Raw genomic sequence first — 16,350 nt, 5'->3', positions numbered from 1 at the left:
GCTCCCTCCTTGGATCCTGTGTTCCAAAGGGCAAGTCTGTATTTGTCTTATCCACCATGATACCCCAAGCGATCGAGACTATCCTGGCCAACATGGTGAAACTCCATCTCTACTAAAAATACAAAAATTAGCTGAGTGTGGTGGCGTGTGCCTATAGTCCCAGCTACTTGGTTGGGAGGCTAAGGCAGGAGAATCGCTTGAACCCGGGAGGCAGAGGTTGCAGTGAGCCAAGGAAGCTCAATATTAAATATTAATGTCCATATGAATAGTGTAAGATTTTATTATGTCTTTACCATTTTTATGATAGACTACCCCAGATCCTCTTTGGAAGCAGGGAAAGCTTCAAACAATTTTTTTAATATCATAAAAATAAAATTATTCATAATTCCAAAAAGTGGAAACAACCCAAATGTCTATCAACTAATGAGGGGAAAAATAACATGTACAGGTTGCAGTGAGCCGAGATTGCACCACTGCACTCTACCCTGGAGACAGAGTGAGACTCCATCTCAAAACAAAACAAAAAACAAAAAAACCCATGTATTTATCACATAATATTTGGCAATAAAAATAAATAGAGTACTGATACATGGACACCATGGAAGAACCTTGAAAACATTCTGCTAAGTGAAAGAAGCCAGTCACAAAACAACATAGATTGTAAGATTCCACTTTATGAAATGTCCAGAATAGGCCAATCCAGAGACAGAGAGTAGATAAGTGGTTGCCTAGGGCTGAGGGGTTTGGAGGGAATGGGAAGCGACTGCTAGTGGATGTTTGGAGGTAATGAAAATGTTCTGAAATGGTGTTGATGGATGTGCAACTTTTTGAATACACTCAAAACCACCGACTTGTATTTTATTCTATTTTATTTTCTGAGACAGAGTTTTGCTTTTGTTGCCCAGTCTGGAGCGCAATGGTGCAATCTCGGTTCACCAAAACCTCCGACTCCATGGTTCAAGCGATTCTCCTGCCTCAGCCTCCCAAGTAGCTGAGATTACAGGCATGTGCCACCACGCCAGGCTAATTTTGTATTTTTAGTAGAGACGGGGTTTCTCCATGCTGGTCAGGCTGCTCTCGAACTCCCGACCTCGGGTGATCTGCCCGCCTCGGCCTCCCAAAGTGCTGGGATTACAAGCGTGAGCCACCATGCCCAGTCGACTTGTATTTTAAATGGGTAAATTCTAATGATATGTGAATTATATTTCAGTGAAACTGTTACAATTAAAATTAATTAATTAATGGAGTTAAGAGCACCCTTGCTCTCTGAAGACAGATAGACTGGCTAAACAGACCAAGGAGATTGGCTTTGTGTCAAATGCCCACTTTGATTAGGGTCCATCCTCCCTCTCTTTCCCCTTCCCTCTCTTCCTCCCTCCCTTAAATGTTTCTCAGCATTCTTCAGGACTCTGGACCAGAGACGGATTAGACTTAGCCTTTATCCTCAAGCAACTAAGTTTAGTTGGGGCAGGACAGGGTGGAACAAAGGGAGGAGCACGGTGAAGACCTCATGGAGCTCCCTGGGTGCAGGCAGAGCCTCCCGGGGATTCTGGTGAAGAACTCTCTGTGTGGAGAAACATCTTTTGTAACAGCAAATACTGTTTTATTTCTTCATTCTTATATGAATTCAATAGACAATTACTGTGCGGGTTGCTGGGGTACAGAGATGCGTAAGAACATGTGTCCCCAAAGAATGGGGTGGAGGGCACAGGAGCCAACCATGGAATCCTAGCAGGGGTGTCAGAGGCTGAAGAAGGTCCAGAGGGGACCGCGCAGGGCAACCGGCCAGGCTTCCTGGGAAGTCAGTGCTGGAAACAGGAGACTGTGCTCGGCTTGGTGAAGCAGCTCCGAGCCTGTGATTTGTCTGTAGACAGCTCGGTTCGGGTGAGCCCCAGGGCTTTCCTGACTGTTACCGGCCTAATCAAGGCAGAAGGCAGCGTGGTGACCTCCCTCCCAGGCGCCAGGATGCAGCTGTGAAGGCCTGGCTGGGAATTGCTTTGAGGCCGGAGGGGGGTCTCCTCCCCCGACACCCGACAGCCCCTCTTCCATGGCCACAGGGGAGTTGCTGAGCAGATCTCCCCTCCCCGGGAGAGGAGGGCAGGCTGCGTGGCCCTGGCAGGAGAGCATGCGGCAGGCGAGCCTCCGGCCGCAGAGATGCCGGGCTCTGTGCGAGACGTTTGCCGCTAGAGGGAGTGCCACGTCGTTCTCCGTCCCCACCACGGACTCCCAGGGCCGCAAACGAGTTTGGGCGGAAGCCAGGGCTTTGGGGCTTCCTGGGAAACTCACTGTCTTTGCCTTTGTCCTCTCCATTTTGAGATTTCTCAGAAGAAGCTGGACCTAAGAATGCTTCGCATAGTTTGGCAGAATTTGCGGAGCCTGTTCCAGCCGCGTGGGTCTGGAATCCGGGATGCGGTCTCTGGCCTGTGCAACCCCTGTTTAACCCGGGGCTGGCCTCTGGAGGGCAGGGAGGCTGGGAGCAGAGAGAAGCACTCAAGGACCTGAGAAATGTAGAAGGTCTTGGATTTGTTTCCCTGTGTGCAGTCCCCTCTGGCCCTCAGAGCTGCAAAGGACAGACCCCTGGGTTCTGGGCAGGGGCTCAGCTCTGGGATTCGTTCAGTGCTTAAAAGGAGGGAAGGGAACTCAGGAATAAGAACGATCAGGCTGGCAGGACATGCAGCTGTTGTCAGAGACCTGGAAACACATGGGCCAGTGGAGCTGATGGGCCCCGTGGGGTGGGTGGGTGGCAGCATCCAACTGGTCAAGAATGGCTCTGCTGTGGCTTCCTCAGCATGGCCCTGTAAAGAGAGCAGAAGATGACTGTGGATGGCCCCAATTTCTGACATGAGAGGCCCTCACTGGCTCAGGTCGGGCTGGCCTCCTGAGGTGACTGGAGGATGGCTGCCACCTTTGGTGTCGGGACTAAGACTGGAAAAGTGGCGGGTCCAGAGAAAAAGCCCAGGCCCACAGCTTCCGCTGACGTGGCAACTATGCTTTTGGACTGCATCCTGGACCTCTTTTGACCAGGCCCTGTGAAGGGTTGCAGGAGGTTCAAGGCCCCTTTATCTCTCTAGCATTGACTCTTGGGTCTGGGCAACAGACCACCCTTTGCAACCTCTGGGCCCAGGCAGCAGGTGTGCAGGTGAGTGCAGCAGGGGCTTGGCAGCCGGTCACAGCTCCCCACCGAAGCTGCGGGAAGCCGGCGGTGCACCATCTGCAGTGGAGCAGGTCAGAGTGGGCCTGCTGAGGCTCCTGTCACTGCTGCGGTTAATGCTGCCGATTACCATGGTTACCCGGAGGCTGGAAGCTCTGACAGTCAAAGGCAGAGCAGGAGAAGGATGTCCTCTCCCTGCTCTGAGCCACATGGCTGCCTCTCAGTCTCCCTGGGTGGGCAGGATTCTTCTGGAAAATAAAAGTGCCTGGACCAGAGACGTTGTCCTGCCGGGGTTCAGCTGATCCAAGCATCATCCATCCCCAAGTGCCGGGGGCCTTCAGGGAACCCTGTTCTGAGCACATTCAGTGGGGAGGCGGGAGGCAGAAGGGGATTCTGGGCCTTGTGTTTGCTTTGCTCAGTCTTGGAAGGATAGAGAAAGGGAAGAGAAGATGCTAGTCTGGGCCTTAGGGAACTCTGAGTCAGAGGAAGGAAGCAGTTCGCGAGCTGGGTGGTGGATTCAGTATCGACTCCTGAGGATCTAGGAATGGCTTTCTGGTCCTGTGCCTACAGTGGCAGCTTGGGGCTGTGACTGTACCCTCTCCAAATAGGGCACTGGCCAGGGAGTCAGGACACCTGCTTTGCCAGTCATTGTGGGCTCCAGCTCCCGCTGGGTCCTGGTTTCTCCATCTGCAAAATGGGGTTAATGATTACTAATCCCCCACCTATTTCAAGTCTGTGGGGAGAATTTTTTAAACGAATAATTTTGTGCATTGAAATGAGCCAGCAGATTTCAAGTCTTTGGAGAAAAGGCCTTATTTATTATTATCATCAACTCATTGAGCAGAAATTCTGTTTATCTCCTTTACTGCCTCTTCGGTGCTGCATGAACTGAGAGCGATATCACCTCTGCAAGATGACGGGGCCCTGCACAGCTGTCCAGACCCCAATGCTGGGGAGTCCCGGGACCTGGAGAGGCCAGGTGGGGCTTCATCTGAGCTCCAAGGGGACATGGGGATCAGAGGGGAAAAAATGGGACAGGTACTTCAGGTGCAAATGCTCCTGCAGAAGTCTGAAGATTCTCAAACAGGGTGCCTAGCCTGGAGGGGAGGAGCTGGGGAGAAGGAAGCGGGGGAGGTGGGCAGAGAGTCTGCCTGGGGGCCAAGGGGCCTGGTTTCGAAGCTTTTTCTTTGGTGCGTTATCATTATTCTTTAAAACTGAGAAAATATGAATATACATAAAAAAGGGAATGAAGAAAAAATTAAATTAGTTATATCAAATTAATAACATTTTGACACTGAGTTTCAGTACAGTTTCTAATATGGAAGGTCTTTATAAGTATTGAAAGGAATGAATGAACTCAGAAGAGGATAAACCGTTGGTAAATATCTGCCAGACATTTCCCCCTTCTGTATATATGCACACATAAATACTTGTTATATTAATATATAAGATACTTTTTTTTTTTGAAATCGGGTCTTGCTTTCTCACCCAAGCTGGAGTGCAGTGGTGCAATCATGGCTCACTGTAACTTCCACCCCCTGGGCTCAAACAGTCATCCTACCTCAGACTCTTAAGTAGCTACAGGTGCACACCACCACTCCTGGATTATTTTTAAAATATTTTTATTAGAGATGAGGCTTTGCCATGTTGCCCAGGCTGGTCTGAAACTCCTGGGTTCAAGCCATTTGCCCACCTTGGCTTCCCAAAGTGCTGGGATTACAGGCGGCCTATATCATGTACTTTTAACGATAGGATTACGCTGCAACAGGCTCTCCTGAATCTGTGGTTTTGATTTCTGAAGTTTCAGTTACTGACTGTCAACCATGGTCTGAAAATAGTTGAGTTCTGTACAATAAGATATTTTGAGAGAGAGGGTGCATTCCCATAATTTTTATTATACTATATTATTGTAAATATCCTATTTCATTATTATTGTTAATCTCTCACTGTGCCTAATTTATAAACTAAACTTTATCATAGGCATGTATGTATAAGAAAAAGCTGTGTGTGCATACGGTTTATTACTATTTGCAGTTTCAGGCATCTACTGGGGCGCTTGGAACGTATGCCCCGCGGATAAGGGGGGTCTGCTGTATACATACTGATTTAAAACTTGTTTCCTCCCCTGAAAAATGTAAAGGAGATGATAAGTTTGAGGTTCTTCCTCCTCAGAAGTTTGGGTTTGACCCCTGAAGTCTGTGTGTCATTCAGATCAGGTCACGAGGTTGAAGGAAGGGGAACAGCATGACGTGAGGCCAAAGGATGAGTCCCTCTGAGGTGCCAGAGTGACACCAGCCGTCCCCCAGGACACAGGGCTCCCCCCACACTGCCCTCTGCAACAGGTGTGCCGCCCCCACACTGCCCTCTGCAGCAGGTGTGCCGCCCCCACACTGCCCTCTGCAGCAGGTGTGCCGCCCCCACACTGCCCTCTGCAGCAGGTGTGCCCCCCCCACACTGCCCTCTGCAGCAGGTGTGCCGCCCCCACACTGCCCTCTGCAGCAGGTGTGCCCCCCCCACACTGCCCTCTGCAGCAGGTGTGCCGCCCCCACACTGCCCTCTGCAGCAGGTGTGCCGCCCCCACACTGCCCTCTGCAGCAGCTGTGCCGCCCTCGGCGCCATTCTTAGTCTTGACTCCCTTTCACTTAGGGTTCTTTTTCTTCAAGGGAGGTCACTCACTGAAAGAAAAGTTCCTGCTGGGAAGGGTGTCTTTGGTCAGCTGAGCTTCTCGAGGGCCTCCCGGTGTCTCCCTTTGTACCCGAGAGAGCCTTCCTCACTGTGTGCTCTCAGCCTCAAGCTGCCCGCAGCCCTTCCTCCCATGCCTCATCTGTGCAGACGTCTCCACCTTTATCTCCAGGGCTCTGAATCCCAAGTCTCCTTGGCCACCAAGCTGCTCTCTGAGGACCGCCTGCTTCCTCACTGGCCCTCTGGTCTCCACGCACCCTCTCCTTATCGCCCATACTTACACAGCAGCCCGTGTTAATGGCAAGAGAGAAGGCGGAGGTGATGCAATCCTGGCACAGTCACAGTCTGCTGAGCAGGTGGTCCCAAACGACATGCTGAAGAGGCCTGGAGACGTAGGACACACAGACCTCGTCCTCCTAGGCTGGGCACGACAAGACCCCAGGGGCGTTTGGCTGCAGGCCTCCTGGCATGGACCCTCTGTCTTCTCCTTCCCTGAGGGTGTGGCCTGCACACCTGTGATGCATTGCCTGTTCCCGGCCATTGGCGGGCTGCCGGGTGAGATGAACTGTTTGATTCTGAAAACCATGGCCACTGAAGTCTCTGCTTTTAAAGTTCTGCTGTCAGACTTTTATACTTTCTCTACGTCGAGGGCTGTTGTTCACCCTCTTATCGTCATGCTTCCTCTTGGCTTGGAGAAAGCCGTGGAGCAAATGCTGTTCCCGTGTTGGGGGCAGGGAGCCTGGAGAGAAGGCTGGCTTGTCACTGACAGGCTGGACCAGGGTCCTACATGGACAAAGAGAAACTCAGTTGGGACAAACGTGAAGTTCTTCAGTGAGGCTGCCCCTCCATAAAGACCTGCAAAGATACACGCACAGGGAATGCTGAAGACGCTGCTCAGGATCCAAGTGACATCGGGCCCTCACCTGCTTCAAGTGCACCCATGGCTTCTGGCACTGAGAATATGCTCTGTGCGTCTTTCACAGCTGACCAGAGCTGCCGATCGACGTCCTCTCCTTGTGCTCCCCTTTCCTGCTGACCACACGCCTGCCAACCTGATTTGCCTTCAGCTTCCTGAACATCTCAGGCTCTTTCTAGCCCTGAGCCTGACCCCTGCCCAGTGAGGGTCCTGAGTGCCCCTCTCCCATGCTCCCTGGTCAGCCTCCTTCCCATGCTTCCAGTCTCAGCTCAGATGTCACCTCTTTGGGGAGTCCTTCCCTGGCCACATTATTTGAAGTAGCTTCGCTTCCTCCCATATCTTCTGATCTTTTTCTTCATAGCAGGTGTTTCAGTTTTCATCTATTTGGTTTCTTTACTTATTTATTATCTGTCTCTCCAAGTATTCTCCATGAGAACCAGGACCATGTCAATGTCATTCAGCACTGTGTCCCCAGCACCCAGTGGGATGCAAGGCATATAAGAAGTGCTCCATGAATGGTGAATTGATGAATAGTTGAGCAACAGGTGTAAGAACGTCTTGGCTCTAGGTGACTTTAAGCTCAACCTGGGTAAGACATATAACCCATCACTCCAGTTGGTGTTCTGGATCTCTGGGCACAGTTCTAGGTTCACAGAATAAGTAGTACATTAAAAAAATGGCACGTGCCTGGAGGACAGTGTGGCTAGAAACCATGGGCTTTGAGGAAAGGCAGCTCAAGGTCTTTCTGTTGGAGAAGGGCAGGCTTGGGGATCCCTAAGAGGTGTCCACAGATATCCAAGGCCTTGCGTGTTGTAGGAGGAGAAGACTCATTTTGTGTGCAGATGGTGGGTGCCTTGAAGGAAGTGATCTTGCCATCACTGGAGCTGGTACTAGAAACTTCTCTTGGGGAGGATGTGAGACTAGATGACATTTAAAGTTACTCTCAGCCTGAAGTGTCTCTGCATCTGAAACTAATTTCGAAATATCCTTGTAGGGCTCTGAAAAGTCGTCTTACCTGGGAGAGATAAAAGAGTGGACAATTCCTCTTTTATAAGACTTATTGTCTCTCTGAAGCAGTTCTGTCTGGGCCCGTAAAGATCCATGTGTGTGTGAGAGAGAGTGTGTGTGAGTGTGCATGTATAGCATTTGGTGGTAGATTAGATTATCATTGAGCAAATGTTCACTTGATGTTACTCCTTCCTTTGCTGATGGCATATATTTGCCCCGCTCACTTTGGGCATGGCTGTGCAACCACTGCATGAAGGTGAGAGGGTGCTGAGGGGTCACGTGTCCATGTTTGTCCTCTGGTGCTCCTGCCCCCACCATAAGATAAGGTAGTTGCAGTTCCAAAATAAAGAGACCCACGGAACAAACTGTGTCCAAGCCCAGCCAAGTTCAGCTAACCCCAGTCAACCTGCAGACCCGTGAGTGAAAAGAAATAATCTGTTGTTGGAAGCCACTGAGATTTGGGGATTATTTGTTACCCAGCATTATCACAGCAAAACCTGACTGATGAGCGTTCATGGAATTCTTTACATGGAACAACTTCAATACTCAGGGCTGCTTGCAGAGGGCCTCTGGTCTGAGGTGCTTGCTCTGTTGCAATGAAGAATCAGGGTTTAGTAAATAGTTATTTTGTTTTCCTCTGGACCCTTTCCATGGCCTCTCCCTGGAGTGTGCAGCTTCTTCCTTTGCAGGACAATTAACCACATTTACAAAACCCACCTCCTCTCTAATGACCCACCTCAACAGACTCTTGGAACTGTCTGTCCCCGACAAGGGTGATTCCTGTTCTGGAAGACATCAGCTTTACGAGGAAGACTGAGAGGATGGAAGAGACTGGAGAGATAGAGGAAACTTGGAAGCTGCAGCAGAGGCGAAGAAAGCCCAGTGGGCAGGGCCCCTTGAAGGAAGGGGGCAGAGAGGCGGCGGATGCTCACGCTGCACGAGGATGTCCTTGCAGACCCCAGCCAAGGTGTTCTGTGATGTCAGGTGAGCAGCTACTTAAGCACCTCTGCCTCTGACTACCCAGCACAGACATGCCAAAAAGTGGCTTTTAAAATGCGTTTGACTCTTATCTCTCTTCCATCACCCTCAGAAATGAAATCTCAAACAATTTAGCAGGGTTTGATGCAGAGAACAGTAAGTAGATCCAGGTTCAGGCAGAAACAGAAGAGAAGGAGTCAAAAGCCCCGGAGAAAAGCATGCACGGGCTTGGAGAGGACAAAATAAAATAGCAGAGACATTTATATGGGTCTTCCCTACCTCTCAGAACAAAACAATTATGAGATAAGAGAGGCATGGATGGGAGGAAATTCTTTCATTTTTCACATTGCAAGCTAGAGAGATCCAATAGCCTGTTTATGAAGAACAATAAAGAAGATACATGAACTCAGTAAAGAGGTTGTTACAAATATATTGGATGGTTTTGAAAGGCCAGGGTTTTCCCCCCGCTTTTGGATAAAGCTGTCCGCTAAGTATTAAAAGATTTTTTTTTTTTTGGTTTTGGTTTTGCTTTTTTTTTTTTCAAAAAGCAATAACTGGCACCAGCAGTTTGTTACAATTGGCAGAAAGAGTTATCACTTTTATTTAGGATTTGGAAATGCAATCAAAGAGGGGCAGATTGGAGCTTGAATTAAATGAAGCTTAAACAGGCAAAAAGAAAAATCTCGGCTGGTCTTTTAAACAAACAAACACAAAAATTACAGTTCCTTGTTGTTAATTTGAAGCTATAAAGAATTTGACACTCACACTTGATTAAATGGTGCCAAGCAGAATGGTTGCTACTTTTTTGTGTGTTAAGTACTGAATGTTCTGATCATTTTTAAAAGTAAAAACTCATTGTTTTTGGAAACTCCAGTAGGACCTGGCCAGGTGGTTTGTGGGAGATCACAGCAAAGTTTCATTTGGTTGGTTTTACGGAAAATTATTTCTTTCCAGGATAATTTAAATAAATGAAAAAGCTGCAGGGATCATTTTTGTTTAGCTACCTGTTTTTCACATTTGCTCTATTTTATAATTCCTGAATGCCAAATTGCCCTCTGAAGTTGTGAAAACATCTCTGCCTGAGTTGCCCTCAAATTATCATTTCAGTTTTGTTGGGATTCATCCTGATATTATCTGGTAAGTTCCAATATCTAGATCACAGCTCTGAGCATCAGGATGGAAGCAAAAAGTTTCCCCCAGAAGACGGAAGAGATGCCCCAAAGTGTTTTCCCTAAATCTCAGGCATTCCTGCATTACCTACAGGCCTGCGGACTCATTCAAGACTCTTACATTCCAACAAGAGCTGCACTCTTGTATTAAAACCCAGAGTGAATTAGAAGTGAAGAGAGGTGCTTCTATGTGCAGGGGCAGCGATCATCAGAAGTGACAGCTGACAGTCTGGTAATCAGAGGCAGAAAAACTGCAAAACAGACACAAACTCACAGGACTCGGCAGTTTGGTTCTACGTAGTAAAAGGGAAAGTACTTGCCAAAATCTCTCTTCAGTCTTGGGGATCCGTGTGATTGAATGTGTGGTTCTTTCCCTGTGTCGCGAGGGAAGGTATAGGGTTCCTCCTTATCCAGGGGTCCACTTCCTTGGGACCCAGGCAGGCACTGAGCCCCATCTGTTCCACCTGCCTGGGGCGTGCCTAACTGGCCATTGCAGATTTTAGCATCACTCTGGACTCCAGAGTATGAGTCCTGAGGCACCTGGAGTGGTTTGTTCTTTGCTGTCTCCTGGTGCCTCCCCCACAGTGAATTGTCCCCTATAAATACATATTGAATGAATAGGCGTTCTCTATAACTTTCACGATAGTATTGAATAGAAATAGTTTGAGGGTTTTTTGTTCATTTGTTGTTTTTCTGAGATGGAGTCTTCCTCTGTCACCCAGGCTGGAGTGCAGTGGCACGATCTCTTGGCTTACTGCAAGCTCCACCTCCCAGGTTCAAGCGATTCTCCTGCCTCAGCCTCAGCTGGGATTACAAGTTCTGGCCACCATGCCTGGCTAATTTTTGTATTTTTAGTAAAGATGGGGTTTCACCATGTTGGCCAGGCTGGTCTTGAACTCCTGACCTCAAGTGATCTGCCCGCCTCGGCCTCCCAAAGTGCTGGGATTACAGATGTGAGCCAGGTTTTTTTTTTTTTTTTTAAATAGCTAAAATGTTCTAAAAGGTGTTAATGTTTGGAGAGAAAACTCTTCAGTTTTGTAAACGCATCTGACTTATCTGCTCAGCACCCCCTTCCTCGCTCTCCAGCCCACCCATCAGCCTTCAGTGTCAAATGGTGCACACAGGAACATACGGTTAAGGGGAAAGATGTGGTAGGAGGTGGCAATGCAAATTGCATCTTATTTTCTCAATGAAACAATGTTACAATAAGGGGTATATTCCCTAGTCATAGCTTTTTTTGAACACCTGATATCTAAGTCCTGAAGTCAATGTTGGCTTGGAGTCAGGTAGACCTGCAATTGAAGTCGGCTCCTTCCAGCTAAGAGCTTTGCAACCTTGGGTAAGTCTTTTAACCTCTGTAGGCCTTAGTGTCCTCAAATAGCGAGAAATACCCACCTTGCAGGGCTGTTGTGAGGATTAAACTCAATAATGTATGTAAAGTGCCTTGCACATTACCTGGCACATAATAAGTGCTCAATAAATTTTAATTCCCTTTCTTCCTTCTCCTTTCTCCAATTCAATCAAGCATTATGATAGATGTGTTTCCTGTGCAGTGTAAAGCTTTTTAAAGTGCATATAAATCAATTAAATAGGGCAATGCTGTAACTGATCACATAACATTTATTTAAGAGATCCTGGGGAGAGGGGGAGAATATTAGAGGCTTGCAGAAACTGCTAGAGAGATGCTAGAAGAGGGCTGTTCAGGCGAAGACTCCTGTGACAGGGCTCCTGCACTCCCTGCTGTAAATTCTATGGGAAAGGGCAGGGTCGGGGGGCTGGGCTGTGTTTTATGATTGGGAATGTGGAAGTGAGAAGAGTGACCCTGAGTGATTCTGGCTGCTGGGCAGGCACTACAGGAAAATGCAGTGATGGGAGGAGTCACTGAAATGGCTGTTCAGCCCGTCTTCCAAGTGCAAGGTTTGTGAACCAATGATCTCCTCAATGAGCATAGAAGAGAAACCAGATGATCCAAATCTACATGTCTCACCACTTACCTGTTGTGAAAAGGGAGGCACATTTGCAGGTACTTTTCCCCTGTCTGGCTGCTTTAGGACCTGAACCTGGAGGGCAGGATCCTTGAGGCTTTATTTGTATAACTGTGGGGAATGCCATTAATATGATGGGGGCAGGGAGTGGGAGTGGGGTGTGCCACAGGCAGAACACAAAGAGATTGAGGTCTGTAAGGAGTGCTCGTTTAGTGGCCAGAGAATAGCCTCAAATGTGATTCAGAGTCTAGGCAATCCTAAACTAAGCCATAGACCCTCTTTTTTCCCTGGGGAAGGACAGGGGGATTCTGTTTGCTCATGCACGATTCCTTGCTTTTAGAGCAGAATTTAGAGAAAGAATTCCTCAAAACAAGCCACCCCATAATGGGAGGTTGTCTCTGCCATTCTTCAAGGTCACGCTCAAGGACTTTCTCTTTGCCAAGCATCCCTGCCTTCTTCCATCCTTGTGCTCTCCCTAGGGATGAGGTGGGAACTGTCATGGGAGGCGAGGACTGTCTCTGTAGTTTTTGAATGTTGTAAGACAATTCTCCAAGGGTTTCTTGGGTTTCTTGCATTTCTGCATGTCTTGTGAGCAGGGACACTGATGATCTTTATTCCAGACTATCTCCTCTGGGATATTTGTACTGCAAACAGCCTTGGAACATAGAGTTGGTGTCTCCTTCTGGGGTAAGCAAGTATTTTTATTGTCCACTATAGTAAAGATAATGTCTCGCTCTAGAGCAAAGGTCAGGTAGGCTTATGCTCATTTTAAAAGGCTTGGATTTTCTGAGTTTGGGGTCCCTCAGGTGTGCAGCAAACCCACTGCATGTGCAGCATTTTCCTGGGCCCCTCCTTATTACCCTCATGGGACTTGGGTAGGCAAGAGGAACTGATGTAGATGTGACAGCCATGCTGCTTGCTGCACTGTGAGTAACAAAGTGCTTTGTTTCTGACCCAGGAGTCTCTTGTCTTTTGCCAGCATCCATGAAACTGTGGCAGGCTAACATGTTAGCTTGCAAGTAGGATAAAATGTAGGACCCTTCACAGCTCTTGTTAGTGAATTCAGCAAAGGAGACTAGTGGGTGTCCTGGGCTGGGGTCAAAGTTATGCCCGCTTGTAGGAGGCCGGTGTTGTACCTGGTAACAAACTGGGCAGCAGCTTTCTCTTAGTGAGGTCTCGTGTGCACTCTCACTCACTCTCTGCCTCCCCTGAACTTCTTCCTGTTGAAATTTTCTGCATCTCTGGGCCTTATGAGAGGACTGGAAGTTTTATCTCTTCACCTTTCCCTGGGGAGGGGATCTCTGGGTTCCATGGCACTCTGCCATCCCCTGCTCTACAAGGAGATGTCTGCATCAGGGCTTCTGGCTCTAACTCCCTCTCCCCTCCCACTTGGTTGCTTCCCACTTCTTCCTCCAGCAGGTGTGGCCTGTGCTTCTTCTCTTCCTTCCAGTCCAGTCCTTGGTGGTCCACTTGCCCTCAAGCCTGGTTCACTTCTCGTTTGGTAATTTTCAGGTTGACTCCCAACCTCAGGAAGGTAAGAATGTTCCAGGGATGGCACTGAGGCCAGACTTGCTGGAGTCCCTTGCCACATGTGAGGCCTGTTCTCAGTCCTCCCTGGGTCTCTTCCTGGCCTGCCTCAGGCTACAGAAACATGAGTGCCCATCTTTAGCATCGTCCAGACTGGGAGCCTCTGCCAGGCAGTGCCTGCCTGCTTGCCCCATGCACTCTTACCTGCACTTTCCCTTCCACAGCCCATCTCCAGCACATAGCCTGGCACACACTGGAGAGGCACAGTGGCTTGGCTGAACAAACGCAATGGGGAGAGATCCATGTCATTCTATACTGGGCAGCAGGCACTTCCGCTTGCTAGTTTCTTATTCCTTATTTCTACCTTACTTTTTTTTTTTTTTTTCTAAATATGCCATGCTATCGCAACTTTCTTAATCTTCTCTTCTGGTTGAAAAATATTTTGTAATATTTGCATTATTCTTACTGGTTCAAACATCCCTAGTCCAAAAATCCAAAATCTGAAATGCTCCAACTATTCCTGTAATCACAATCAAGAAATAAAGTAAGTAGCTTTGACTAAGCATGCCCAGCCATGGACCCAATCATGGTCATGCTGGGTGGAGCTCAGAGCTCTCTTTTTAGGGGAACTGGGTGATAAGGGGGAAGAAAACTTCTGGGCAGAATAAAGTAGGCAGGGCACTTGAATGTAGGTAGATCCCAGAGGGATCATAGTGAATAAAGGAGTTACAAAACAAAAACCACATGCTGACTGACCATGGATCTGAGGAATGAATGGGCTGGTCTGGGCCTTCCTATTTGATGGACACACTGAACTTCTTGCCCCACCCCAGGTTGGCCCCAAGCAGAGCCTCCTTTCGGGTAAGGCCAAGGGGGTTGCCATAGCTATGAGGCTGGATGATGGGAGCTCAAAGGTGGTTTTCCAGGCCCATGATGACTATGGAGCCCCTCTCTCCTTAATATACGTTTTTGCAAATGCTTTGCCTAACCGGACTCCCTGGACTCAGCTTCTCCTGGTTGAATCTTTGACTGAGATGGCACCTGCCATGGAGTTCAGAGTTGCAGTCCCTGCCGTAGAGTTCAGAGGCCAGGGCCTGGTGGCAGAGCTCAGAGGGCGGAGCCACTTGCCATGAAATTCAGAGGCTGTGGCCCATGGTATGCAGCAGCTTTCTGCACCAGGGTTGAGAGAAGCTCATTTAATATTTTCTAGCATTTTCCGAATGGAATGAGTGGTCTGTGGATGCCAGGAGCATGCTCAATGCTCATCTGTCAGTTTGACAACACAACAGAGTATACGTTATTTTTGCTAAAAATAGTCAGTACAAAAGATGAGGCTCCAATGGCAGCACCAATGGAGTCTTAAAATTCCACCAGGCCCCTGGCTCACGCCTGTAATCCCAGCACTTTGGGAGGCCGAGGTGGGTGGATCACGAGGTCAGGAGATCAAGACCATCCTGGCTAACACGGTGAAACCCCGTCTCTACTGAAAAAAAAAAAATTAGCCGGGCATGGTGGCCTGCGTCTGTAGTCCCAGCTACCGGGGAGGCTAAGGCAGGAGAATGGCGTGAACCCAGGAGGCAGAGCTTGCAGTGAGCCAAGATCACGCCACTGCACTCTAGCCTGGGTGACAGAGCGAGACTCCGTCTCAAAAAAAAAAAAAAAATTCCACCAGGCCCCCTTTCCTTGGAGGTGATTGACAAAGGAATTTTATGTTTATGCTTTAATAACCCAGAACACGTCATACACCCCAGCGAGCCTTTGCAGCCCATTCACTTCCCTCAGGCTGTGTCCCAAGGCTTCCTGCCTGGAGTGGTCCATTGAAATATCCTCACTCAGTGGGTCATTTTTAGGACGATGGTAGAGTGCAGGAGTAAGGATGGCTCTTGCTTTAGCACAAAACACCTGGAATCCAGTGGTTTCCAGTTCCAGATTGACCGTAACCATCTCCTGTGCCCGGCAAGGGTAGAAGCAGAGAGGACCCAGACACAGGAAACTGTGTACCTGAGTCTACATTCTGCTCTCTTCATCAGGACCATGGCCATACTAGCTACTATTTATTTTGTTTTGGTATTTATTTATTTATTTTGAATTGACAAATCAGAATTATATATATTTATGGGGTACAATATGATACTATGGTATATGTATTCTTTGTGGAGTGACCAAATCAGGCCAGTTAACATCCATCATCTCACATACTTATTATTCTTTGTTGTAAGAGCATTTAAGATCCCCTCTTTTAGCAATTTTGAAATATGTAACATGTTATCATTGACTGTAGTCACCACACTGTGCAATAGGTCACCAGAACTGATTCCTCCTGTCTAACTGACATGTTTCCTCTTTCCCCATCCACTCTCCCTCTCCACACCAGCCGCTGTAACCACCCTTCTGCTCTCTACTTCTATGAGTTTGACTTTTGTCTAGATTTCACATATGTCTTAGTCTATTCAGTGCTGCTGTAACAAAATACCTGAGATGGGATTTGATAAAGAACAGAAATTTATTTCTCATCGTTCTAGAGGCTGGGAAGTCCGAGATCAAGGTACTATCAGTTTTGTTGTCTGGCAAGGGCTGCTGTCTGCTTCCAAGATGACACCTTCTTGCTCCAGAGGGGAGGAACCCTGTGTCCTCCTCACATGGTGGAAGGCAGAAGGGCAAGCTGGTGGAACCCTGAATGAGGCCCATTTTATAAGGGCCATATAATCCCTTTCACAAGGGAAGAGCCCTCACGGCCCAATTGCCTCTGAAAGGCCTCACCTCTTAATACTATTACGTTGGCAACATCTGAATTTTGGAGGGGGTCACATTGAAACCATAGCAACATATGCATGAGATCATGTGGTGTTTGTCTTTTTGTGCCTGGCTTATTTCACTTAACATGATGTTCCACAGATTTGTCCATGTTGTTGCAAATGACAGCATTTCTTTCTT

The 16,350-nt window shown here is 48.2% G+C and overlaps 2 annotated features.

Moving 5' to 3' along the window:
• Nucleotides 5,761-6,454: an enhancer, noted in NCBI's record as "H3K27ac-H3K4me1 hESC enhancer chr2:23570305-23570998 (GRCh37/hg19 assembly coordinates)". NCBI's record gives its function as "activates a minimal SCP1, AML or CMV promoter by ChIP-STARR-seq in naive and primed H9 embryonic stem cells {active_cell/tissue: H9 hESC(naive and primed)}" and the evidence as "EXISTENCE:reporter gene assay evidence [ECO:0000049][PMID:30033119]".
• Nucleotides 7,502-7,561: an enhancer, noted in NCBI's record as "active region_15410". NCBI's record gives its function as "activates an Ori minimal core promoter by ATAC-STARR-seq in GM12878 lymphoblastoid cells {active_cell/tissue: GM12878}" and the evidence as "EXISTENCE:reporter gene assay evidence [ECO:0000049][PMID:35858748]".

The sequence above is a fragment of the Homo sapiens genome, chromosome 2, assembly GCF_000001405.40.
Source record: "Homo sapiens chromosome 2, GRCh38.p14 Primary Assembly".
NCBI lineage: Eukaryota > Metazoa > Chordata > Mammalia > Primates > Hominidae > Homo > Homo sapiens.
Note: the sequence above shows the minus strand (reverse complement) of the source record. Positions and strands in the feature narration are given on the sequence as shown.